General features: G+C 43.5%; 1 protein-coding gene across 3 annotated transcripts, besides 7 other annotated features; it reads left to right on the plus strand.

The window, feature by feature from the left end:
- Positions 1,488-1,707: a silencer, noted in NCBI's record as "silent region_1143". NCBI's record gives its function as "represses an Ori minimal core promoter by ATAC-STARR-seq in GM12878 lymphoblastoid cells {active_cell/tissue: GM12878}" and the evidence as "EXISTENCE:reporter gene assay evidence [ECO:0000049][PMID:35858748]".
- Positions 1,669-25,958, plus strand: SARS1 (seryl-tRNA synthetase 1). Of its 3 annotated transcripts, NM_001330669.1 has the most exons (12): positions 1,669-1,904; positions 11,754-11,824; positions 16,128-16,208; positions 17,190-17,348; positions 18,654-18,797; positions 19,407-19,562; positions 22,986-23,207; positions 23,753-23,882; positions 24,167-24,324; positions 24,581-24,646; positions 25,020-25,149; positions 25,507-25,958. In NM_001330669.1, exons 1-12 carry the CDS (start codon positions 1,769-1,771, stop codon positions 25,662-25,664), a joined length of 1,611 nt encoding a protein of 536 aa, NP_001317598.1. In that variant the 5' UTR covers positions 1,669-1,768; the 3' UTR covers positions 25,665-25,958. The 3 variants fall into 3 exon arrangements, 2 of the variants coding, with proteins under 2 accessions (NP_001317598.1, NP_006504.2); NM_006513.4 differs by lacking the exon at positions 24,581-24,646 and having other exon boundaries at positions 1,694-1,904; NR_034072.1 differs by lacking the exons at positions 11,754-11,824; positions 16,128-16,208; positions 17,190-17,348; ... (6 more) ...; positions 25,020-25,149; positions 25,507-25,958 and adding an exon at positions 2,323-5,267.
- Positions 1,758-2,117: an enhancer, noted in NCBI's record as "active region_1437". NCBI's record gives its function as "activates an Ori minimal core promoter by ATAC-STARR-seq in GM12878 lymphoblastoid cells {active_cell/tissue: GM12878}" and the evidence as "EXISTENCE:reporter gene assay evidence [ECO:0000049][PMID:35858748]".
- Positions 13,150-13,834: an enhancer, noted in NCBI's record as "NANOG-H3K4me1 hESC enhancer chr1:109767996-109768680 (GRCh37/hg19 assembly coordinates)". NCBI's record gives its function as "activates a minimal SCP1, AML or CMV promoter by ChIP-STARR-seq in primed H9 embryonic stem cells {active_cell/tissue: H9 hESC(primed)}" and the evidence as "EXISTENCE:reporter gene assay evidence [ECO:0000049][PMID:30033119]".
- Positions 13,835-14,519: an enhancer, noted in NCBI's record as "H3K4me1 hESC enhancer chr1:109768681-109769365 (GRCh37/hg19 assembly coordinates)". NCBI's record gives its function as "activates a minimal SCP1, AML or CMV promoter by ChIP-STARR-seq in primed H9 embryonic stem cells {active_cell/tissue: H9 hESC(primed)}" and the evidence as "EXISTENCE:reporter gene assay evidence [ECO:0000049][PMID:30033119]".
- Positions 17,490-18,286: an enhancer, noted in NCBI's record as "OCT4-NANOG-H3K27ac-H3K4me1 hESC enhancer chr1:109772336-109773132 (GRCh37/hg19 assembly coordinates)". NCBI's record gives its function as "activates a minimal SCP1, AML or CMV promoter by ChIP-STARR-seq in naive and primed H9 embryonic stem cells {active_cell/tissue: H9 hESC(naive and primed)}" and the evidence as "EXISTENCE:reporter gene assay evidence [ECO:0000049][PMID:30033119]".
- Positions 18,287-19,084: an enhancer, noted in NCBI's record as "H3K27ac-H3K4me1 hESC enhancer chr1:109773133-109773930 (GRCh37/hg19 assembly coordinates)". NCBI's record gives its function as "activates a minimal SCP1, AML or CMV promoter by ChIP-STARR-seq in primed H9 embryonic stem cells {active_cell/tissue: H9 hESC(primed)}" and the evidence as "EXISTENCE:reporter gene assay evidence [ECO:0000049][PMID:30033119]".
- Positions 24,777-25,976: an enhancer, noted in NCBI's record as "CDK7 strongly-dependent group 2 enhancer chr1:109779623-109780822 (GRCh37/hg19 assembly coordinates)". NCBI's record gives its function as "activates an origin of replication core promoter dependent on BRD2, BRD4, P300/CBP, MED14 and CDK7 cofactors, with strong dependence on CDK7, by STARR-seq in HCT116 cells {active_cell/tissue: HCT116}" and the evidence as "EXISTENCE:reporter gene assay evidence [ECO:0000049][PMID:35650434]".

Raw genomic sequence — 26,038 nt, forward strand, 5'->3', positions numbered from 1 at the left:
CACAACATTTCTGTGACCAGATGCAGTGGTGAGGGGCCCTGGGGGGTAAGTTCCTCAGACACCAAGCGATTCTCCAGTGGACATTGGCTAAGCATTCTATAATTCAATTCGATTCTGATTCTGACACTAGCTACCTGGAGGTAGTGTCAGATTCCATGGGGTAAGGGCTTGATCCCACTAGACTGCTCCTCTTCAGATGCCAATTGCAAGTAGTAGATTTCACCTATACTTCTTAGCAGCTATAAACTGGGGCTCCCACTACCCCCTCCTTTGGTCTGATTAATTTGCTGAGAAGGCTCACAGACCTCAAGGAAACATTTACCAGTTTATTATAAAGGATAGTACAAAGGGTACAAATGAACAGCCAGATGAAGAGATGGATAGGGCAAGGTGTCAGGGGTGCAGAGCTTCCATAACCTTTCTGGGCAAGACACCCTCCTGGCATCTCCACATGTTCAACAACCCTGAAGCTCATCAACTCTTGTTGTTCGAGCGTTTATAGAGTTTGATGTCCAGCTCCTCCCCTCCCCCTTTCCTGGAGGTTGAAGGGTGGGGATGAAAGTTCCAATCCTCCAATCACTTGGTCTCTCTGGTGACTGGCCCCATCCTAAGGTTATCTAGGGCCCCCATCCTAAATCACCTCCTTATTATAAACTCAGGTGTTATCAAAGAGACCCATTACGTATAACCCAGGAAATTCAAGGGTTTTAGGGGCTGTGTCAGGAACCAGGGACAAAGCCCAAATATATTTCATATTATAAATAAATAATATGATAGTTAGCTATGTCACACCCTCATCTCAGGAGTCCATGACGGCGGTATAAGATCAAGAAGGTCTTAGCACATCTAGCTTCGAGAAGGCATTGGAAGTGAGGCTTTAAAGTTTCTGCAGAGTGGAAGGATTGGGGGTGGGGGTGGGGGAGGAGATCACCTGTTCCCAAATCCTTCAAATAATCTCTTGTTATCAGGGAGATTCTTTGATAACTTTGGCTTCACTCGGCAACTAGAATATTTCATTTAAAGGTCTGAACATTATAAAATCAAAGTATGATACAAACCGTTCTTCAAGACGCTTTCAAATTGACCCAAGACATGACCTCAACACCTTATACGGCGTTCAAATCTGCTTAATGTCCCTTTGGAAAAGTTTTCTCTCGTCTCTCTCTAAAAGACAACCGCACTTTCCCAAAGCTGTGCTCTTAAGAGTTGGTAAAGTGACAATTTGGTTTATCCAATAATCAGATTAATAAAGGTATACCATTTCTAAGGCACGAGAGCAGGAATCTTAAGCTGAGGTAGCCCTGGGACTAAATATGCCATCCTCTTGTATCAAGATGGAGAAGACGGCCGAGGTTCAGGGAAAGAGCCCAGTGGAAGAACCCAACCTAGTGAGAGGAAAACGGGCACCTGGTGAAGGCCCCGGCCTCTAAGCTAGGGATGAGGGGACAGGCCTCTGCCTAGCCTGAGACAGGAGTAGGAAACTGAGGCATTCACACTTTTATGTGGCGATCACAGTTCCTGCAGACTGTAGCAGAGCTGGGGAGCAGGAACCAGAGGTATAGTCCCACGCCCACCCACTCTCCCCTCCCCTCCCTCCGCGGCCCCGCCTCCAACCAGCCGCTTCCGGTCGCGGGGAGGGTCGCCTGCGGGCTCCAGCTGCGCCTGCGCAGGAAGGGCGGGTCAGCGCGCCGGCGCAGTGCGGCGGTCACAGGCTGAGTGCTGCGGCGCGATCCTTGCTTCCCTGAGCGTTGGCCCGGGAGGAAAGAAGATGGTGCTGGATCTGGATTTGTTTCGGGTGGATAAAGGAGGGGACCCAGCCCTCATCCGAGAGACGCAGGAGAAGCGCTTCAAGGACCCGGGACTAGTGGACCAGCTGGTGAAGGCAGACAGCGAGTGGCGACGATGTAAGTACCGGGACGGGCGGGTTACCTCCTTGATGCTAAACCCAATTTTCTCTCTCAAATCCAGCCACCGCTCCTGAGGCCACAGCTTCCACCCTTCGTCAGACCCCCTCCCAGGGTGCGGTGGCTCCGAGGTTCTCCCCATCCCCGAAAACACAGCCTGGTCGCCGGGGTCATCCCACTTTCTCCTCCACCCGGGCGGAGCGAGGTCCCTTCCACGCGTGCTCAGTGCCGTTCGCTGCCAGTGTGCGTACGCACGCGCATCGGGAGCTGTCAAGCCTTCCTGCCCCAGGGGTTGCCAGAACATGCCGGGGCGGGAGGTTGTGGGGTCTACGCGGCTTTCCTAACACGAATCTTTGGTCCCCCCCAGTCTTTTTCTCATCTTCAGCAAGGCCAGAGTGGTTTTCCTTTGTTTTGATAGGATCAAAGGCTTCTCCTGAGACTGCGTCACTTCTGCAACACAGTAGATTCATTCCTTCGGTATCGGAAGCATTTCGGGGCGTTGGAGGCCGCTCTTGGCCAAAATAAATGACCCTGAAGCTTTTCGGAAGGCCATCCCCCGACCTATGGGCATACCTTTAAGAATTAGAAAAGTCTTTTCCGTGGTAGATCAAACGCGAGGGGAGTGAGGAGGCGAGCAAAAGATTGTAATGACTGAAGCTGTTTAATTGTGATTTGTGGACGTTTTCCTTTAAAGACATTGGCAGAGTTGGGCTAGAACCTGGAACTGCCGGATCTTGGAGTCATATCGGGCATCTATCATGAAGCCGAATAAAACCATAGAACCATCTGCCCATAAATCTCTGCCTGTATTAACTGGAGTGGTCGCTGGTTGGGCGGATGCTGTCAAGTACTTGTGATTTGATTTGTCTGATGCAATAGGTCTGCAACCATCTGGGAGCTAGGTCGATGACAGTACACTGCAAAGGCAGCCACTATCCAAGAGTGTGATGGATTTCTATTAGGAAAATTGATTTTCTCCTGTTTATAAGGATCTTGGATGTCAAAAGAATATTTGTTTAACTTGAGTTTTGTGCTGATTCTATGTCTTAGGCCCTCTATTGTAGTAGTTTGTTTGATTGTGAGATTCCACACTTGACCTGAAGTTTCGAGTTGCAATGGAATTTAATTTTGCCACATTTTTTGTTTAGGATAAAACTAGCCTGAGCACTGTTCTACTGAATCTGAAGTCAGGAGTATCAGATTTTTGTGTCAGTCCAGCCCTTAGCCAGTGCTAAATGACTTTGAATGTGTTAGCTAGTCTTTTGGGTATAATGTCCACATCTGAGGGATTTGTCCCTTATCTGAAAAGTAGATAGGTGGTGAGTTCTTCAGGGACAAGGATTCAATTTTATTCATACAGTATATATGTGGATATACATATACACATTTATACATAAAATCCCAGTACCTAGCACTGTACCTGGTCCTTGGTAAGGCCTTGATAAAGGTTTGTTAGAGGCGTGAATATTTTCTGTCTTCAGGGCACTTTATATTCTTTATGAAAAGCAGTTTATGTAGTTTATGTTATTGTTTTAAAAAACTTAATCCTAAATGTGAAGTCATTTCTTTTCTTTGTTTTGTTTTGTTTTGTTTTTGAGACGGAGTCTCTCATTATCACCCAGATTGGAGTGCAGTGGCACCATCTCGGCTCACTGCAACCTCCATCTCCCGGTTTCAAGAGATTATCATGCCTCAGCCTCCAAGTAGCTGGGACTACAGGTGTGCACCACCACACCCAGCTAATTTTTTTTTTTAGTTGAGATGGGAGTTTCACCATGTTGGCCAGGCTGGTCTCTAACTCCTGACCTCAAGTGATCCGCCTGCCTCAGCCTCCCAAAGTGCTGGGATTACAGGTGTGAGCCACCATGCCTGGCCAATAGTTTATTTCCAATGCATCTATTAATTTGATTCTTTTCTATTTGACAACCCTTTCCAATATTCTCTTTGCATCCAAATGGAATTTATGTTTTTTCCCAAGTTCCCAACTGCCCAAGGTAGACACTGGCAGATTTATATCAAGGTTCTTTGACATCTTGAACTTCAGATCAGAGGATGGAGTTCTTCTCTCATTGCCTTGAGCAAGGGCTTATAACCAGAGCCACATTAAGAACTCAGATCATGCTCCCTAATTGAGGACACATAGCAAGCTTCACCAAGCCCTCCACTACAACTATACCAATTTGTCTTCCTGTAGACTTACAAGGTACCACTAGGGTTCCTTTGGAGAACTCAGGAGTCCAGTATAACTTGGAGTGATAATACCACATTGGAACTCACAACTCTTCTAACTCCAGGGATTTGAATGTGATTTCTTCTTTTTAATTCAGAGTAGCGTAATGATCCTACACTTGGGCATATTTGTCTTGGCCCCACTCCCAAAGCAAATAGATTTCCATGTAACTGGAAATCTGCTGCAAACCCCAAGAATTTTATCCTCCCTCAAAAAGTGCTATCCTGAGTGGTTTTTTTTTTCTTTTTACTGTACATTGAAAATTGAAGTTGTTGTTTCCTTTTTTTTTAATTTGAGACAAGGTCTCACTGTGTCACCCAGGCATGATCACAGCTCACTGCAGCCTCAATCTCCCCAGGCTCAGATGATCCTCCTGCCTTAGACTTCTGACTAGCTGAGACTACAGGCGCAATGCCACCATGCCTGGCTAATGTGTGTATTTTTTGTAGAGATGGAGTTTCGTCATGTTGCCTAGGCTGGCCTCAAACTCCTGGCCTCAAGCGATCCTCCCACCTCGGCCTCCCAAAGTGTTGGGATTACAGGCATGAGTCACCATGCCCAGGCTAAAGCTGTTATTTCCTCATAACCTTTACTGCACATGTTTTAAAACAGGTCCTTATCATTGTTTGCCCCAGCAACTGGAATAGCTTTCTATCTGCTTTCAATCTTAACCCAGTCTCACCAGGGCATATAATCTTTCTAGAATGCAAATCTGATCATTTTACTTGAAGGCTTAAGTTTTGCAGTGACATACTTTAGAGCAGCACTGTCTGATAGGAATAGAATGTTAGCTTCATGTATACAGATGCTCCTTGACTTAGGATGGGTTTATGTCCCAATAAATCCACCATAAGTTGAAAATATTGTAAGTAAAAAATGCATGAAATACACATACCCTACTGAATATCATAGCTTAGCCAAGCCTACCTTAAATGTGCTCAGAACACTGATGTTAACCTACAGTTGGGAAAAATCATCTTACACAAACCCTATTTTATAATAAAGTGTGAATATCTCATGTAATTTATTACTATTGATCATAAAGTTTAAGCATTATAAGTTGGCGATAGTCTGTAATTGTTAATTTGTTTGTATCCAATATAAAAAATATAAAGAGAAACAGATGAAATTAATTTTAGTAATACATTTTATTTAACCTAGTCTTGTATACCCAAAAGTTATATATATATAAATATATATATAATTATTATTATTATTTTTAGACAGCGTCTTGTTCTGTTGCCTAGGCTGGAATGCAGTGGCATGATCACAGCTCACTGCAGCCTGGACCTCCTGGGCTCAACTGGTCCTCCCACCTCAACCTTCTAAGTAGCTGGGACCACAGGTGTGCACCACCATGCCCAGCTAATTTTTAATTTTTTGTAGAGACAGAGTCTCACTTTGTTGCCCAGGCTGGTCTCGAATTCCTGGACTCAAGTGATCCTCCCACTTCGACCTCCCACACTGCTGGGATTACAGGTGTGAACCACCACGCCCAGCCCCGAAATTATATTTTCAACACATAATCAGTATTTTTAAATTACTGAAACTAGCCCGGTGCGGTGACTCACTCCTGTAATCCCAGCACTTTGGGAGGCCGAGGCAGGCAGATCACAAGGTCAGGAGATCGAGACCATCCTGGCTAACACGGTGAAACCCCATCTCTACTAAAAATACAAAAATAATTAGCCGGGCATGGTGGGGGGCGCCTGTAGTCCCAGCTACTCGGGTGGCTGAGGCAGGAGAATGGCGTGAACCCGGGAGGCAGAGCTTGCAGTGAGCTGAGATCATGCCACTGCACTCCAGCCTGGGTGACACAGAGAGACTCTGTCTCCAAAAAAAAAAAAAAAAAAAAAAAATTAGCCAGGCGTGGTGGCGGGCGCCTGTAATCCCAGCTACTTGGGAGGCCGAGGCAGGAGAATTGCTTGAACCCGGGAAGCGGAGGTTGCAGTGAGCTGAGATCGTGCCATTGCACTCCAGCCTGGGGGACAAGGTGAGACTTCATCTGAAAAAAAAAAAAAATTACTGAAACTACTGAGATATTTTACTTTTTTTTTTTTTTTTTTGGTACAAGTCCTCAAACTCCAAAGTATGTTTTACACTTAAAGCACCACTCTGTTCAGGTGCTCATTTCAAATTTCAAATGCTCATAGTCACATGGTATTAAAAGCTACTATATTGGACAGTACAGCCTTAAAGCATAAAAATCCAAATTCCTGAACACAATTTACAAAGTCCCCCATGCCTTCCTGGCCTCGCTGTCTACCACTTCCCACATAGGGCCTCCCGCTCTTTGCTCTAGCTTATTGCTACTCCTAGACTCTTTCACACTTCTGTGACTGTTGCCTCTTCCTGGAATGCTCCTTATCAGGGTGTGCCACTCCCACTTCCAACGGCCCTCTTTGGCACTCAACTACTGTTGTAGTGCCACCTCATTTATTGAGTGCTCTCCTTATATTATCTTACAAATCTCTTACAGCATTTATACTATTCCTGTATATACCCTTCAAAAACTTATTTTTATTGACATAGATACAGTAAAGTACACAAATCTTAGTGTACAGGTTGATGAGTTTTCTAAATATATACACCAATGTAACACTTAGATCAAAATATAAGACATTTAGGCCGGGCGTGGTGGCTCACACCTGTAATCCCAGCACTTTGGGAGGCCGAGGCGGGCGGATCATGAGGTCAGGAGATCGAGACCATCCTGGCTAACACGGTGAAACCCCATCTCCACTAAAAATTCAAAAAATTAGCCGGGTGTGGTGGCGGGCGCCTGTAGTCCCAGCTACTTGGGAGGCTGAGGCAGGAGAATGGCATGAACCCAGGAGGCGGAGCTTGCAGTGAGCCGAGATCACACCACTGCAGTCCAGCCTGGGCGATAGAGCAAGACTCTCCATATATATATATATATATATATATATAGTGTACATATACAGTATATATATACACTATATATTTATATACACACTATATATATATATATATATGACATTTACAGCACACCAGCAGATTGCCTTATGCCACCTCCCAGTCAGCCCCTCCTCCAAAAATAATAGTATTCTTACCTCCATCACCATAAATTCCTTTGCCTGATTTTGAACTACATATAAATGGACTTATGTAGTATATACTTTTGCATATGGCTTCTTTCTTTTTTTTTTTTGAGACAGATTCTTGCTCAGTCACCCAGGCTGGTGTGCAGTGGCGTGATCTCAGCTCACTGCAACCTCCGCCTCCCGGGCTCACACCATTCTCCTGCCTCAGCCTCCCGAGTAGCTGGGATGACAGGCACCCACCACCATGCCTGGCTAATTTTTTTTGTATTTTATTAGAGCTGGGGTTTCACCATGTTAGCCAGGATGGTCTTGATCTCCTGACCTTGTGATCCACCCGCCTTGGCCTCCCAAAATGCTGGGATTACAGGCATGAGCCACCGCGCCCGGCATGGCTTCTTTCTTTCAAGATTATGTCTGTAAGATTCATCCATGTTATTAACATGTAGCAGTAGTTGGTTCTTTTCATTGCTATATAATACTCCATTATGTAAATATGCCAATCAATTCTACTAGCATATTTACTGCATGACATTTGGATAAACTGGGTTGTTACCGGTTGAGGGCATTATGAATAAGCTTCTAGAGACTCTTTTTTAAAAAATGTTTGATTGGCAATTAACAGATTATAGTTGTATATATTTATAGGGTACAATGTAATGTTATGATTTATGAATACAATGTGGAATAATAAAAGCAGCTAATTAACATATCCATCACCTCAAATACTTATATTTTGTGATAAGAACATATGTACATTCTTATGTGTGTCTTTTGGTAGACATTAACACTCATTTCTGTTGGGTATGTACCAAGGAGTAGAATTGCTGGATCATAGGGTGGGCACATGTTTAGATTTAGTAGATAATACCAAGTAGTTTTCCAAAGTGGTTGTAATGATTGATATTCCCACCAGCAATATCTAAGAGTTCCAGTTGCTTGGCATTCTTGCCAGTACTTGACATTGGCAGTCCTTTTAATTTAGCCATTCTGGTAGATATATAGTGGTGTCTCATTGTTATTTTAATTTGCATTTTTTTGGTGACTAAAGATACTGAGCGCTTTTTCATAAGTTGATGGCATTTGGATAGCCTATTTTGAGAAGTATCTGTTCAAGCCTTTTGACCAATTTTTATTTGTCCTTTTCTTAGTGGTTTGTAGGAATTATTTATATCGTGTGGATAGAAGAATACCTGTGAGATACAGATACCACAGATCTCCTCTCCCATTCTGTGGCTTGCCTTTTCATTCTTTCAGTCTTGTGATGAATAGAAGTTCCTAATTTTAATGAAGTCTAATTTATTGACTTTTCTTCTGTGATTTGTCTATTGTGTTTCCAAAACACAATAGATAAATCACAGAATTTGTATTCTGTTTTGAAAATCATGTTATGTCTTAACCTTCAGAAGAGATTCTCCAGTTTTTTTGTAGACATTTTATTTCTTTACCTTTTACATTTAGGTATAAGATATATTTAATATTAATTTTGGTGTATTATGTGAGATAGATCAAAATTTTTTTTAATGTGGAGAGTCAATTGCTCATGGTAAAAATGCAATAAACTGAGAATAGAAGGGAGCTTCCTTAATCTGATAGTAGATACTTACAGAAAAACCCATAGCTAATTTTTCTTTTCTTCTCTTTTTTTTTTTTTTTCTTGAGACAGAGTCTCATTCTGTTACCAGGCTGGAATGCAGTGGCGTGACCTCAGCTCACTGCAACCTCCACCTCCCAGGTTCAAGCGATTCTCCTGCCTCAGCCTCCTGAGTAGCTGGGACTACAGGTGCGTGCCACCACGCCCAGCTAATTTTTGTATTTTTAGTAGAAACAGGATTTCACCATGTTGGCCAGGATGGTCTCGATCTCTTGATCTCATGATCCGCCCGCCTCGGCCTCCCAAAGTGCTGGTATTACAGGTGTGAGCCACTGCGTCCGGCCACATTTTTCTTAATGATGAAATATCGAATGCTTTCCCCCTTGAGGTTAGGAACAAGACAAGTATGTCTCTTATCACCTCTTCTAATCAACATCATGCCAAAGGTTCCAGGCAGTATGAAGAAGGCAAGAAACAAAAATAAAAGATTGGAATGGAAGAAACTGTCATTATTTGCAGATCACTTGATTGTGTATGCAGAATCTGAACTATTACAATTAAATAACTTTAACAAAATAACTGGATACAATACACAGAATCAAAGGTACTTCTATATACAAGTAACAGTTTAGAAGCACCAGGTGCATAGAGATATACCTAATAAATAACATTTAAGACTCATATACTGAAAACTACAAAACATTGCTGAGAGAAATTAAAAACAATGAAGGGATATACTATATTCATTGATTGAAACATTCAGCATTGTTACAATATTTGGTTTTGTTTTATTTTCTTTTTGTTTCTTTTCTTTTTCTCTTTTGAGATAGAGTCTTGTTCTGTCACCTAGCCTGGAGTGCAGTGGAATGATCTTGGCTCACTGCAGTCTCTGCCTCCCAAGTAGCTGGGAGTACAGGCACACACCACCATGCTCAGCTAATTTTTTTGTGTGTGTGTATATATATATATATATATATATATATATATATATATATATTTTTTTTTTTTTTTTTTTTTTTTTTTTTTTTTTGTAGAGACAGGGTTTTGCCACGTTGCCCAGGCTGGTCTCGAATTCCTGGGCTCAAGCGACCCACCCACTTCAGCCTCCCAAAGTGCTGGAATTACAGGCATGAGCCACCACACCTGGCCTTATTTTCTTTTATACTCCCAATACCTACCTTGGTGCCTTGCAAATAGGAGGGAATCTCAAAACGATTATAGATTTACAGGAAGTTGGAAAAATAGTAGAAAGGTCCCGTTTTCCCCAATGATAACATCTTATATAACTCTAGTACAATATTAAAACCAAGAAATTGACATTGCTACAATCCACAAACCTTATTCAGATTTTGCCAGTTTTGCACACATGTGTGTGTGTAGTTCTGTGCAATCTTACCATGTGTAAATTTGTATAACCACTGCCATGCTCAAGATACAGAACTGTTTCATCACCACAAAGATCCTTCTTGCTATCTCTTTGTAGTCTACTCCCTTTGCCCTCCATCTCACCCCTAGCAACCACTAATCTATTATCCATCTCTATAGTTTTATCAATGTGAATAAGTGAATGAGAAAATAGTGATATCATTTTGCATTGAAGTTTTGTTAAAGAGGTATCAAAGAGGAAAGCTTCTTGGTAAAGCCTTAAAGAATGGCTCTCTAGGTGCTATCTTATTTCTAGTCATCAATTTTGCCTCTTAAAAGCTTGAGTTTGGCTGGATGCCATGGCTCACACCTGTAATTCTAGCACTTTGGGAGGCCAAGATGGGTGGATCGCTTGAGCCCAAGAATTTGAGACCAGCCTGGGCAACACAGCAAAACTCCATCTCTACAAAAATAAAAATAAAAAAATTAGCTGGGTGTGGTGGCGCACACCTGTAGTCCTAGCTGCCTGGGAGGCTGAGGTGGGAGGATCACTTGAGTCCAGAAGGCAGAGGTTGCAGTAAGCTGAGGTCGTGCCACTGCACTCCAGCCTAGGTGACAGAGTGAGACCCTGTCTCAACAACAAAAAACCTTGTGCTTAATTTTTATCATATTGCCCCTGACGTTTAGATTCAAGAGGTCCAAATTTTGCTAATCAGAGTTAGACTGATGATCCATGATACCAATATATTAATTTGGGCCAATATGTTGACCAGTTAGTGCCTGTCTTCCCCCAAAGGAAACCAAATTATAAGAGACTAAATTATTCTCAAGGCTGCTAGATGAGCATTATATCAAAGTAAAAGGGTATCATTAGCCATTTCTAGCATGGAGAGGTAGCAATCATGACTGCACTCTCTATAGATTCCTGTGCATAGCACCTAGTTTCCTTAAATGAGTTTTAAGATAATTGGGCAGGTTAGTTACTTGAGTGTCTTCCAAGTTTTTCAGATGTGTTACTCTATAATGGCTTCATACAGGTTATGATACTTTTTAATTTTAACCTCAGATTGGTCTTTTCCTTGTCACCAAATGCTGGGGACACCCTATTGTAGTCACCATTGTATGCCAACTACATTTGGGGCTCTAAAGCTCTAAGATTAGGCCGGGCACAGTGGCTCACGCCTGTAATCCCAGCACTTTGGGAGGGCGAGGTCAGGAGTTCAAGACCAGCCTGGCCAACATGGTGAAACCCCGTCTCTTCCAAAAACACAAAAATTAGCCGAGTGTGGTGGCGGGCACCTATAATCCCAGCTACTCGGGAGGTTGTGGCAGGAGAACCGCTTGAACCTGGGAGGCAGAAGTTGCAGTGAGCCGAGATTGCACCATTACACTCCAGCCTAGGCAACAAGAGCAAGATGCTGTCTCAAAAAATAAAAATAAAAAGCTGTAAGATTTTATAACTTCATGAGGCAGATCCTTCAGCTCTGCCGGCATTTGGGCCTTAACCTGAAATCAGTACTAAGAAGTCAAGATCAGGAGAAAGGAGTATCTTAATTATGGGCATTTCTTTGGTATAGTCTTGGATTCTTTATTCCTAGGTAGATTTCGGGCAGACAACTTGAACAAGCTGAAGAACCTATGCAGCAAGACAATCGGAGAGAAAATGAAGGTAAGAGAACTGAATAACAAACAGCCATGAGAACTTGAGCGGAGATATTTGATCTTGCTCTTAGCTAATGTTCACAGAAGTTCTAACTCAGTGTTTAAGTCTACAAGATGTTCAATTTCTTACCAAAGGGGAAAATATTATTTTAAAAAGATAGGGAGGCAGGGAACTTGGAGGCATTTTCATATACTTTACCACAAGTCCATCTTCTGTGTTCAGGTAAGATTCTTTGTTGTCTAGCTGTTTGTTGTCTATTCTGTTCTTATATTAGAAATATAAATTCCACCAGTCATCTTTTTTATGGCAGATTTCAGATTTGTCGTCTCAGCGTAGTTATGCTCCATAATGAAAACTACAGATTCAGAGTTCAAATCTTGCTACGTTATGTGTCTTTTAGGCAAGTTAATGCCTCAGCCTCAGTTTTCTCATTTATAAAATGACAATACTAACACTCACCTACAGAATGGAATTGTTAGAACTTTTTTTTTTTAATTTAAACGCCAAGCAATGGTTATGGATAGAACTAAATTTCTTTTAAATGTAGAAAATTTGGCACAGTGTCTAGAACATGTAGTTGTTCAGCAATTGTGAGTTATAATGAATGGCAAGTAATGTTACTGGCCTTCATCCAAAAAAAAAATCCTTCCTATGCCTGAAAAATACTATGTTTCAGCTCAGCTTTTGCTTTGGTATCCAGAATAGTTCATGTTTTTAACCTTCCTTCAAAAATACCTGTTTAGCCCCTTAATCATATTACATTACATATTATAGCTGGGTACAGTAGCTCACGCCTATAATCCCAGCACTTTGGGAGCCAAAGTGGGCAAATTGCTTGAGCTCAGGAGTTCAAGACTAGTCTGCACAACATGGTGAAACCCCATCTCTACAAAAATAAAATGAAACAAAAAAATTAGCCAGACGTGGCGGCCTGTGCCTGTAGTTCCAGCTACTCAGGAGGCTGAGGTGGGAGGATCACTTGAGGCCAGGAGTCAAAAGTTGCAGTGAGCCAAGATTGCGCTACTGAGCTCCATCCAGCCTGGGTTTCCAGTGAAACCCTGTCTCCAAAATAAATAAATTAATTAATTAAATGCACTTTACAATCTAGATAACTTTTACATTGTAAACCTCAAAACTAAACAACAACAACAAAAAATTATAGAACTTTGGAACTGCACCAGTAAAGAGCATAAAAAGATGACCTCGGGATTCTAGCACCTTACACTTAACTTCATGGCAGTCGGCATCTTTCTCTTTGACAATATTTTGTTACACTTTCAGCGTGTAACACTTTTAGCTGTGGAAAGTGATATTGATAATCATCCAGTTTCTTTCTGTGGGACTTAGTCATTCGCATACTAGAGGCCCCATAATTATGTTAATTCCCATGCATACTCCTCCCTGGGTGTTCTTTGGGACCTATGTACAGTCAGTGCCAGCTGGGTATTTTTTGAAGCAAGAAGATGGGATTGTGAGTGTTGTCATTCACAATAACATTCTTAGATCTGATTTTGTTGCTAGCCATGCAGGGAGTGTTCACTCCCACTGCCATTGAAATGGTAATGATAGTGCTTTAATTTGTAGAGCACTCGAAAGCATTCAGATACTTTCACAGACATCTTATTTTGGTTTTGATCCTTACTGCAGAGCTGGAGTGCAGATAGTACATTTGTCAGCCCTATTTAATGGGTAAGGGAATCGGCTTAGGAAATTAAAGAGCTTGCTTAAAATCATATTCTAACTTAGTTGCAGAGTCAAACCTTGAGCTCAGAACTTGAATTTGCTGCCCTGAGGGATTATCAAATAGCAAGGGAGCCTGGTAACTATCTTGCAAACATATCACCCTGCCTATGATGCCATTGCAAAAATCTTGAGATTTAGTCCATTTTTTCCCTACCTCTGTAGTCTGTTCTTATCAAGACTCATTCTGATAGTTTCAGATTTTTCCAACTTTTTTTCTTTTTTTCTGAGACAAAGCCTCATTTTATTGCCCAGGCTGGAGCGCAGTGGCACAATCATGGCTCACTGCAGCCTCAACCTCCTGGGCTCAAGCAGCCCTCCTGCCTCAGCCTCCCTAGTAGCATGCCACCACACTCGGCTAATTTTTTTTTTTTTTTTTTTTGTTGAGATGGAGTCTCCCTGTGTTGCTACTGCACCTGGCCAGATTTTTCCAACTTTTTAAGATGATTTTGCTCTGAGTCACTGAAGGGTGTGAGTGGAGTTATGGTTAGAATTTTGATTGTATGAGAATGTGTAATGAACCTAAAGGATTTCCATGCTTTACATTTAGGAGATTTAGTCCTTTTGTTCTTTCTTTTTTTTTTTTTGACACAGTGTCTTGCTTTGTTGCCCAGGCTAGAGCGCAGTGGCGTGATCATAGCTCACTGCAGCCTCCAACTCCTTGGCTCAAGCAGTCCTCCCACCTCAGCCTCTCAAGTAACTAGGACTATAGACACATGTCACTGTGCCTGGCTAATTTTTTAAAAAGTCACCCAGGCTGGAGTGCAGTGGCACAAGCATAGCTCACCACAGCCTCTAATACCTGGGCTCAAGCAGTCCCCCCGCCTCAGCCTCCCAAGTAGCTGAGACTACAGGTGTACTCCACTATGCCTGGCTAATTTAAAAAAAAAAAAAAATATATATATATATATATATACACACACACACACACACACACACACACACATATATATATATTTATTTATTTATTTATTTATTTATATTTAGATATGGGGTCTCACTCTGCTGCCCAGGCTGGTCTTGAACTCCTGGGCTAAAGTGATCTGCCCACCTCAGCCTACCATGTAGCTGGGATTACAGTTGCAAGCCACTGTACCTGGCTATACTTTGTTTTATTTATACTCACAAAGCGGATGCTAAATATTCTTATGCAAGTTTTGTTGAAGTCTCATGTATCTTATTATAATGACCTTTGACTAACTTTCTTTAACTCTTTTTTTTTTTTTTTTTTGAGACAGAGTCTTACTCTGTCACCCAGGCTGGAGTGCAGTGGTGTGATCTCAGCTCACTGCAACCTCTGCCCCCAAGTTCAAGCAAGTCTCCTGCTTCAGCCTCCCGAGTAGTTGGGATTACAGGTGTCTGCTACCGCGCCTGCCTAATTTTTGTATTTTTAGTAGAGACGGGGTTTCACCATCTTGGTCAGGCTGATCTTGAACTCCTGACCTCGTGATCCACCCACCTCAGCCTCCCAAAGTGCTGGGATTACAGGCATGAGCCACCGTGCCCTGCCAACTCTTTTTAATTTAAGAAGAATTTAACTCTTTAAGTGATCTTTTTAAATTCACCTGGTTTTGTGCAAGGATTACAAATGATGATTTAGCAGAATTATCATACGGAAGGATGAGAAGAGAAACTAGAGAGAACGAAATCCAACCCTGGTTACACCCCTGCCATTTTGTCAAATTACATTGATTGTTCTAAACTGAGTTCCAGATCCTGTGACTTTTTGTTTGTTTGTTTTCCTTGGCTGTCTGATATTTCATCATTCCATCCATCTTTCACCCTTAGCCTCAATGCTGGGATTGTTGTTAGCAGGTAGATAAGAATCTACACTCGGGGCCGGGTGCAGTGGCTCACGCCTATAATCCCAGCACTTTGGGAGGCCAAGGTGGGGGATCACTTAAGGCCAGGAGTTTGAGATCACCCTATCCAACAGAGTGAAACCCTATCTCTATTAAAAATACAAAAAAAAAAAAGGAAAAAAAAATTAGCCAGACGTGGTGGTGCACTCCTGTAATCCCAGCTGCTTGGGAGGCTGAGGCAGGAGAATCACTTGAAACCGGAAGGCGGAGCTTGCAGTGAGCCCAGATCACGCAAACTGTACTCTAGCCTGGGCGACAGAGTGAGACTCCGTCAAAAAAAAAAAAAAAAAAGAATCCACACTCAGGTGTGTCTGCTCCAGGGCTTGCTCCTGAGCACTGCACTACCTCTCCAGCGCTTATAGCTCATGAGCATTTCGAATAAATTCTCTTCTGATTCCTATGATGATCTATGTACAGGGAATGACATTCTTCTCATATTCTTCAGGATGTTAATTCTCTGACCCAGACAGATTAATTGATTTTAGGATCAAAAAGCTATTAAGTGGCAGCATAGGGAGGGGCTTGACACTTTGACTTCTGGCTTCCAGTGTACTAATTTTTTTCCTACATGTTGTATCTTTTAGAAAAATTTATGTAAGAAGTTCTGTGATTCATTTATATAATACGTTAATTTGGTGTACACTTTATAAAACAATGCCAGAGATTTTCTTTTATTTATTTGTGTTGGGTTTTTTTCCTTCCTGCAGAAAAAAGAGCCAGTGGGAGATGATGAGTCTGTCCCAGAGAATGTGCTGAGTTTCGATGACCTTACTGCAGACGCTTTAGCTGTAAGTTATAGTTCTTTTCTAAGTTAGGATCTCTGCTATTTTGTCTTAATTTTATTCCTAGACAGCAAGTGCTCTCACTCTGCTCCACACAGCATTGTGACATCCTTTCATTTCTGCTGCTGGGAAATGTCCCCACCCATTCTTGTTATATTCTATATTTGAGTATTTATTAGACAGCAGAGATGGAGACAGATGGAGTGGGAGAGTCGGAGAGTCAAGGACAGGAAGAATAGAAAAAGGAAAGGAATTGTGTTTGGTTTATATAACTCCATATTCTACCGTTTGTTACACAAAGGCAAGAAACTTCAGTTTACTGTAACACAGTAAATATTCAGTACGCTGGCAAGAGCAGTAATTTTTGAGTTTTTTAGTCACTGAACCCTTTCTTGAAACCCTTAACATATAGCAAGAACATAAACCAAAAAAGCAAAGTTGCTGTGCTTGAAGGTCTCGGATTGGGGGCCTGAACCTGCCTGGCCCTACTGCTAAAGCGCTTGCCTCAAAGAAATAAGAGCACAGTTTGAAACACCTGCAATACAGAATACAAAATATGCTTCAGACAAATCTCTTACTCCTAATAAATTTATAATCTTCCTAGAGAACAGTTGAATGCAGCACATCAATGGAGTGCTAAATTGGTTCAGTCAAGAAAATCAGAAAGTGCAAATTAAGGGAAAGTTCTCATAAGAGAGCGGCAGTACTTAAATTTCTGCAATGTATGGGAACAATAGATAGTGGCCAGAACTATCTATCTCTGCCTCAAGCACCCCCAAAGAAAAATGCCGATGGATTTGTAGGGCAAGACTGTGTATATCTGTGTGTGAAGGAAATCTCAGTTCTTAAAAGTCTTCGTTTCCAGTTTTTAAAATGCTACCACAAGGGCTATCTTTAGAGCACAACAGGGTTAGGGCAACCGAATCATATTCCTGTGCTGTCCTTGCCTCACTGTCCTGCTTATGGGCCTGGCCTGTTCATCTGCAGAACCTGAAAGTCTCACAAATCAAAAAAGTCCGACTCCTCATTGATGAAGCCATCCTGAAGTGTGACGCGGAGCGGATAAAGTTGGAAGCAGAGCGGTTTGAGAACCTCCGAGAGATTGGGAACCTTCTGCACCCTTCTGTACCCATCAGTAACGATGAGGTAGGTGGCTGTGCCGCAGCAGGAGGCTGCCTTAGGTCGCTGCTGTCTCTGCAGGGGCGGGGACGGGAGGAGATCTGTGGAACACTGGCATTGTCTGTCAGAAGCAGGTTCTTTGTATATTCCCTCTGCCCACCAATTGAGAATTGCAGGAGTCAGATCCTTGTCTGATTGGGAAGTAGCAGAGACAGCAGGTAGGAGGAGACTCCTGGCACAGAAATCTCTTCTAAATAGGGCTGCTGTCCTCCGCTGCATGTTGCCCGTGGTAGCAGGCATCTCGTGGGAGGGATCTGCTAAATCAACCTAACCCCTTCACCCACACCCTGCTGAGAAGCTGCAGGTTGAAGGGAAATCTGCATGATAAAAGTTTCCTGCTGAGCGGGAGCTTCCCCTGCACAAAGCTGCTCTGAGCCCAGCCTTTGTTCCCCGACACCCCAGCCGTAGCAGGGCCCATCTGTGCCTCTTTCATTCATTCCCTGGTGAACATTAAACTCACTGCAGGCTGGGGTGTGCAGGAGGCTGCAGAGCACAGACCACGAGACGACTCTGGAGGTCAGGGCCCTGAGTCCGCCCTCATGTGGCCCTGGGACCAATGAGAGCCTGGAAAAAAAAAATCTACATTCTCCTCTGCACCCCAGGCAATGTCGATTGTCTGGGAAGGGTTGTCCTTGTGCAGGATTTGAGGGGTAATTTAAAAGGGTAAAAAAAAGAAATAAACAAAAAAAACCCCCGAGAGAATGCTATAGACCTCTTGGAAAATCATCATTCCCAGTTTCATGGCTAGAATTACTTCTCAAACTTTGTAAGTTACTACTTCTCCATTGAGTAGCAAGTTGCCTTCTCTAGTTATGAGACACAGTAGTGTTTGAGTTAAGCGATGACTTCACAAAGTTAAGTTGTTCGTGGAATAAAGTTTGGAAAGATGGAGGTTGTAGAATTAAGAAATCATATATCAAGCTTGGCGCGGTGGCTCACGTCTATAATCCCAGCACTTTGGGAAGCCTAGGCAGGCGGATCACTCGAGCCCAGGAGTTCGAGACCAGCCTAGGTAAAATGGCAAAACCCTGTCTCTACAAAAAATACAAAAATTAGCCGAGCATAGTGTTGCACACCTGTCTGTAGTCCCAGCTGAGGCTGAGGTGGGAGGATCACTGGAGCCTGGAAGGTTGAGGCTGCAGTGAGCCAAGATTGTGCCATTGCACTCCAGCCTGGATGACGGCGTAAGACCCTGTCTCCAAAAAAAAAAAATAATTTAAAAATAATAAAATCATATGTCTTGTATGTCTCTTTCTTGCTCTGTTTCCTTAGGATGTGGACAACAAAGTAGAGAGGATTTGGGGTGATTGTACAGTCAGGAAGAAGTACTCTCATGTGGACCTGGTGGTGATGGTAGATGGCTTTGAAGGCGAAAAGGGGGCCGTGGTGGCTGGGAGTCGAGGGTACTTCTTGAAGGTAAGAGCTGGGAACCAGTGAGGATAGGATTATGAAAAAGAAACAAAATATATATATATATATTTTTTTTTTTTTTTGTAGAGAAACATAATCTGTTTAAAGAGGCCCACAGATCTACCAGTTGTACTTGCCTTTCTGCAAATGTATTGGCAATTAGATGCAATTCTCTTTCTAAAGCAAGAGAGGGCTTATCAGGATTCCGTAGAACAAAAGCCACTAAGTGGTCCTCCATAATGAATGTCTGTTTTGCTGACTGAATCAGAACAGTCTCTGCCTTTAAGTAGCTCAGTATAATTGGACAGTCAGACAAGTAACAAAGAATCAAAATCCACTGTCATAAGCTCTGTGGTTTGTGTAGGCCCAAAGTGCTTTGAGAACATCAGGATAATTCTCTTAACGGTGTGCCTGGATGATTTGCTGGGCTTCAGTGTTCAGAACGAATCTCAAGGTTCAGAATGTCAGTTGCTGGGATCTGTGGTCTTTTCTTGGCCTCCTGCTTGCCCCTCGGTAGTCCTGTTCTCTTGGCCCAGGTGCCTTTAGGTGTCAGTTCTAGCTGAACATGATGGTGACAAGACCCAATCACATAGTACTGTGTCTCTGCTCCTCTAGGGGGTCCTGGTGTTCCTGGAACAGGCTCTCATCCAGTATGCCCTTCGCACCTTGGGAAGTCGGGGCTACATTCCCATTTATACCCCCTTTTTCATGAGGAAGGAGGTCATGCAGGAGGTGGCACAGCTCAGCCAGTTTGATGAAGAACTTTATAAGGTGAGTAGCCTGGGTCAGGTGACAGAATGACTTCTTAAGTTATGTAGCTTAACTTCAGTGATGCAGAGTGGTGCTGTCCAATAGGACTTTCTGCGATGATGGAAACGTTCTCTCTCTGTGACTCTTGAGCACTTAAAATGTGGGTGGTGCAATGGAGGAAGCACATTTTTTATTTTAATTAATTTTAACTTAAACATGTAGCTAATGACTGCCATATTAGACAGTGCAGCTGCAGAGCCTCTTTTACCTTTCCCTGGGTAATCTGTATGATGTATCTAAATCAAGCATACTTGAACACCATGAGCTTAGAAAAGAAGCCCATTCCTTGGGTGCTTGGACAAAAGGAAATTACAGTGGTGGCACTGATCTCCTAGCCTGCTTCCCATGTCCTCCCACTCCTAACCCCAGACTGGAAGCTTCCACAGGGTGAGACATACTTGCCTTGGGATGGAGGTGGCTTCCAGTTTGTGGCTCCTTCTCAACCATGGACCATGTCAGGGAGAGCCAGACAATTCAAGTCAAGGTTCAGAAGGTCATTCTGATCAACTGGCTCTAACACCAATAACAGCACCCCACTCTGTGTTCAGCACTCAAGATTTCTAGAGCGTCTCTGCTAACAGCTGTCCAATGCAGCAGTGTCTACTATTCATTTGTCCCTCCCTTTCAACTCTTCTGTCAGAAATAGGGACTTAGTTCCTACTGGCTTATTTCCTCTCCAGACAGTGGAGGTAGAGTTAGACAACTGCTGTTGGACTCATCTAATTTATATAGGGAGATAGTTCAATAATTAGAACGATCTTTCCATTGTTTCTGTTGATGAGGTAAAAGTTAAGTTTTCATTCAAGACGCACTGGGAAACAAAGTGCTCTCCCTAAACCCTGAGCATCAGTATAACCTTGACCTCCTCTCTTCTTTCTTTTAATGAAGGGAGGAATGTGTTCCTTTACTCGCTAAAACCTGTTTTACCTTTTCTTTCTTTTTCTAATTTCAACCCCTAAGATTAGATAATCACTAACAGAACATTAGAAATATCCGCTGCAGGTAACAGTAGGGAGAAACCTATGTGGAGTATTATGGAAACTGTTAGGTAGCTGGTGCTCTCTGAGTCCTGCAATCTCCGTCTCTTATCCAGACGCTTCTTGGACCCACAGGCAGGAAGAATCACAGGTTTCATAGTGAAGAATTTTGGCTGGCACTTCTTGTCTGATAAAAACCTCAGTTCTGTAAGAATGAATATATCGCTGCCTAATAGAACTTTCTGCACTGATGGAAATGTTCTAAGTCTGCATGATCCAGCATGGCAACCATCAGCCATATGTGACTTGAGCACTGAAAACGTGGCTGATGCAACCGAGGAACTAAATTTTAATTTAATTTAATTTTTTTTTTTTAATTAATTTCCTATGTAGAGACAGGGTCTCACTATGTTGCCCAAACTGATTTCAAACTCCTGGGCTCAAACAATCCATCCGCCTCAGCCTTCCAAACTGTTGGGATTACAGGTGTGAGCCACTATGCCCAGCCCAATTTAATTTAAATAGTCATGTGTGGCTGGCTATACCATATTAGGCTGCACAGCCCTAGAGCTTTCGTATGTTGTATGTGAATGGCCCCACAGTGGCTAAATTCCTACTGCCAGGTAGCAAGGTAGTTTTCCAGGCCTCTAAACACTGATCCAGGGGAACCTTTCTTCCTTACTTTTTTTTTTTTTAATTAAAATGCTGCTACATAACAAAATTTAGAAATGGCAGAGGGAATTATCTGCTTTCCCATTGACCTAATATAACAATTGTCATCTTAAAATATTCATGTTGGGATTTTTTTCATATATATGTTGTTTTCACATACTTATAATTGCCATGTACATAAATTGCCTTTTAACTTAGCATTATTTTTAATTTTTATTTTTATTTATTTATTCATTTTTTGAGACAGAGTCTCACTCTGTTACCCAGGCTGGAGTGCAGTGGCACGATCTTGGCTCACTGCAACCTCTGCCTCCTGGGTTCAAGTGATTCTCATGCCTCAGCCTCCCGAGTAGCTGGGATTACAGGCGTCGCCACCACACCTGGCTAATTTTTTTTTTTTTTTTTTTTTTTTTGAGACGGTATCTCACTCTTTCACCCAGGCTAAAGTGAAGTGGCATGATCTCGGCTCATTGCAACCTCTACGCACCGAGTTCAAGGGATTATCCTGCCTCAGCCTGTTGAGTAGCTGGGACTACAGGCATCCACCACCATGCCCGACTAATTTTTTTTTTTTTTGTATTTTTAGTAGAGATGGGGTTTTGTCATGTTGGCCAGGCTGGTCTCGAGCTCCTGACCTCAGGTGAACCACCCGCCTTGGCCTCCCAAAGTGCTAGGATTACAGGCATGAGCCATTACGCCTGGCCACACCTGGCTAATTTTTGTATGTTTAGTAGAGACGGGGTTTCACCAAGTTGTCCAGGCTGGTCTTGAACTCCTGACCTCAAGTGATCTGCCTGCCTAGGCCTCCCAAAGTGCTGGGATTACAGGCATGAGCCACCGTGCCTGGCCACCTTTTTATGTATCATTATATCAAAAGTATTTTTCTGTGTTACTGCATGGTCTTCATTTTTATGGTTGTATAATATTACATAAATAATGTTACAGTGAACTTTGTCCTGTCTGAACTTTTTTTTTTTTGCATTATTTTCTTCAGTTGAACAGCAAAGTATATTCTTTAAGGATCATAACCACTAACCTGTAAGCACCAAGAAAGCAGAGACTGGTGTCCCTTTTTGCTCCACATTGGTGTTTAGTAAACGTCTCACAAGGATTAATGTATGTGGCTACCAGCACAGGTTTATTGCATACCTGCCAGCATTGACCATTATTCATCATGGATGAGTTTTCTGTATTAGATAAGTGGAAAATAGCTGGGCACAGTGGCTCACGCCTGTAACCCCAGCACTTTGGGAGGCTGAGGCAGGTGGATCACCTGAGGTCAGGAGTTCGAGATCAGCTTGGCCAACATGGTGAAACCTTGTCTCTACTAACAATACAAAAATTAGCTGAGCGTGGTGGCGCGTGCCTGTAATCCCAGCTACTCAGGAGGCTGAGGTGGGAGAGTCGCTTGAACCTGGGAGGTGGAGGTTGCAGTGAGCCGAGATTGTGCCACTGCACTCCAGTCTGGGCAGCAGAGTGAGGCTCTGTCTCAAAAGCAAAAAAAAGATAAGTGGAAAATATTCTTTCCTCTTAATTTACATTTCTTTGATCTCTGTCAGGGACCCCATTTTGGACTGACCCATTCCTTTATCTTTTTAGTATTCTCTCCCCACTCCCAGGCAGGGATTAAAGGAAATTTTTCCTGCACTATTATTGATCTCTTTCTTGTGGTTTCTTATTCTAGCCAAGGTCCTCCCCACTTCCTCTTAACTGGTATAGCTCCTTCCTTCCACAGGTGATTGGCAAAGGCAGTGAAAAGTCTGATGACAACTCCTATGATGAGAAGTACCTGATTGCCACCTCAGAGCAGCCCATTGCTGCCCTGCACCGGGATGAGTGGCTCCGGCCGGAGGACCTGCCCATCAAGTATGCTGGCCTGTCTACCTGCTTCCGTCAGGAGGTGGGCTCCCATGGCCGTGACACCCGTGGCATCTTCCGAGTCCATCAGTTTGAGAAGGTGAGTAGATGGGTCAGGGTAAGGAGTGGAACTTTCTCTGTCTCCAGAATGGTTAGATGAGAGATAGGATCTGTGTTGCTGAGGCCCATCCTGGCTCCAGCTTTTCCTCTCATTGCTTACCTCTGTGTTTCTGGGGAAGTGCATGGTGGAGTGGCGTGGATTATGGACCCTGAAACCAGGCTGCGGCTTTACCACTCACCAGCTGTGTAACATTGGGCATAATGCATAAGCCCCCAGTGCTCCATTTCTGCCTTTGTATGAGGAGGATAACAGTAACAGTGCCTGCCTCACCAGGCCTATTGTGGCCTATTGTGAGGATTATCCCAGTCACTATATGTAAAGCACTCAGAACAGGGGCTGGCATGCATACGGGAAGCTCGCACCATAAGCATTTGCTCTTGTGGTCCAGTCCCAGTTGCTGGGGGCCCAGACTTGCCTGCCTCCCAGTGGTGTGGAAACAGGTCTTCATGGCAAGGATGTCTCCCACTTCAGTCCTTTATTCACCCTATACCGCTGTCACCGTTTCCTTGGGTCCCTCTCTGCAGATTGAACAGTTTGTGTACTCATCACCCCATGACAACAAGTCATGGGAGATGTTTGAAGAGATGATTACCACCGCAGAGGAGTTCTACCAGTCCCTGGGGATTCCTTACCACATTGTGAATATTGTCTCAGGTATGGGACCCAGCCTCTTCTCAGCCTCCCTTTCCTGTAATCCCAGACGCCACCCTTACCAGCTGAGCTGCCACACAGAGAAACAGCTCACAATTCAACTCATTGCCCACATTAATTAAAATATTACACTCTTCTCACTTGGGAGTATTTGGTGTTAAGAATATCTGGGTGTGATTTCACCTCTGGAGACAGGACATGAATTAAAGAATTCTTCAGGCTTGCTAAAGGTTAGCCTTCTGAAATACCATCCCTCCTTCATGAATTCTAGGGGTTTTTCCTTACAGGTTCTTTGAATCATGCTGCCAGTAAGAAGCTTGACCTGGAGGCCTGGTTTCCGGGCTCAGGAGCCTTCCGTGAGTTGGTCTCCTGTTCTAATTGCACGGATTACCAGGCTCGCCGGCTTCGAATCCGATATGGGCAAACCAAGAAGATGATGGACAAGGTAGATGGCCCCCAGGGAGGTGGGAAGCAGAGTCTTCAGTACACGGCCCGTCCGAATTATTTCTCAGCCTTTGGGGTGCACTGGTCCCCAGCATCATGGGAAAATCTGAGCTTCTCAATCTAGACCAAAAAGGGAATCTGAAAATGCCTTCTACTGAGTCAGGACTGAGTTCTTTTAGCTAGAAACCTGAATCTAGCTCTCTTCTATAAGGTAATTCTAGCTTTTCTCTTTCTGGCTTTGTTTTTCTTAACTCCAGAGAAAGAATAATCTCCATTTATCTACACAGAACAAGTTGGAGGCTTCCCTCTTCTCACCCAAGAAGGTCTGGGTTGTAAGCTGCTCTCTTCAAACCCAATTTTCAGGCCCTACTCTTTTCCAAGTCAGGTGCTTGAAAGGGGTGAAAAGGAAAGGCCACAATAGTAGTTTCTTCCTTCCCTCAAAGGGCCCAACTCTCAGAATACCAGAAGCTACCACTTGTCACTCATCGAAACATGAGGGATCTTTCTGCAGTTATCTAATAGGCAATAAATACCAAATAATTCAAATTTAGAAAAAAGTTGCTAAGGGGTAGAACCCATCATTTTGATTTGGACAGTTGTGGTTGGGGAAGTCTGGTTGAATGGATGGTTCCTGGCCGTCAGTAAGACCCGATGAGAGTTGAGCCCGACTTCCCCTCTGGGACCCTGTCTTCCCAGGTGGAGTTTGTCCATATGCTCAATGCTACCATGTGCGCCACTACCCGTACCATCTGCGCCATCCTGGAGAACTACCAGACAGAGAAGGGCATCACTGTGCCTGAGAAATTGAAGGAGTTCATGCCGCCAGGTAAAACTCCCAGCTCATCTCATCGTTCTCCTCTTTTCTGTCTTCACACTCTTCTAAATAGCAGTCCCCTTTCAGGATATACCAGGTTTTTTTGTTCAGACACAGCCCCTGAAACTCTGTCTGCCCTCTCGGGCTGGGCAGGGCAGGGGGCCTGGTTGAGAAAGTAGCCAGTGCAGGTATGATGTTGAAATGCTGCTAAAATTCAGACTAGGGAAGAAAAGAATAAAGGAAACCAGTGCCTATCAAAGGGACCCCTCTGTTCAAAGGGATCATTGTCTTGTTGAATTCTCCCCAGAGGTCTTAGGGCTTTGACTCACTGAGAAACAACAGGTCATTTGGTTGGCTCTTCCCTCCCAGGACTGCAAGAACTGATCCCCTTTGTGAAGCCTGCGCCCATTGAGCAGGAGCCATCAAAGAAGCAGAAGAAGCAACATGAGGGCAGCAAAAAGAAAGCAGCAGCAAGAGACGTCACCCTAGAAAACAGGCTGCAGAACATGGAGGTCACCGATGCTTGAACATTCCTGCCTCCCTATTTGCCAGGCTTTCATTTCTGTCTGCTGAGATCTCAGAGCCTGCCCAACAGCAGGGAAGCCAAGCACCCATTCATCCCCCTGCCCCCATCTGACTGCGTAGCTGAGAGGGGAACAGTGCCATGTACCACACAGATGTTCCTGTCTCCTCGCATGGGCATAGGGACCCATCATTGATGACTGATGAAACCATGTAATAAAGCATCTCTGGGGAGGGCTTAGGACTCTTCCTCAGTCTTCTTCCCCGGGCTTGAACCCCGCCTCTGAGGTTCTCCCTGATATACACTTCTGCTTTTCCTTCCAAATTAGGCTGCTCCCTCCAGTTAGCAAGTCACAGAGCCTTTGAACAGGTAAGCGAA

The sequence above is a fragment of the Homo sapiens genome, chromosome 1 (genome assembly GCF_000001405.40).
Source record: "Homo sapiens chromosome 1, GRCh38.p14 Primary Assembly".
Lineage (NCBI taxonomy): Eukaryota > Metazoa > Chordata > Mammalia > Primates > Hominidae > Homo > Homo sapiens.

Bases quoted from the DNA above. Each gene is read 5' to 3' on its own strand.
- SARS1 (NM_001330669.1), top strand. From the start codon at position 1,769: ATGGTGCTGGATCTGGATTTGTTTCGGGTGGATAAAGGAGGGGACCCA. The intron at 18,798-19,406 runs GTAAGAGCTGGG...CTGCTCCTCTAG, and splicing joins GTCGAGGGTACTTCTTGAAG to GGGGTCCTGGTGTTCCTGGA. The intron at 23,883-24,166 runs GTATGGGACCCA...TTTTCCTTACAG, and splicing joins CATTGTGAATATTGTCTCAG to GTTCTTTGAATCATGCTGCC.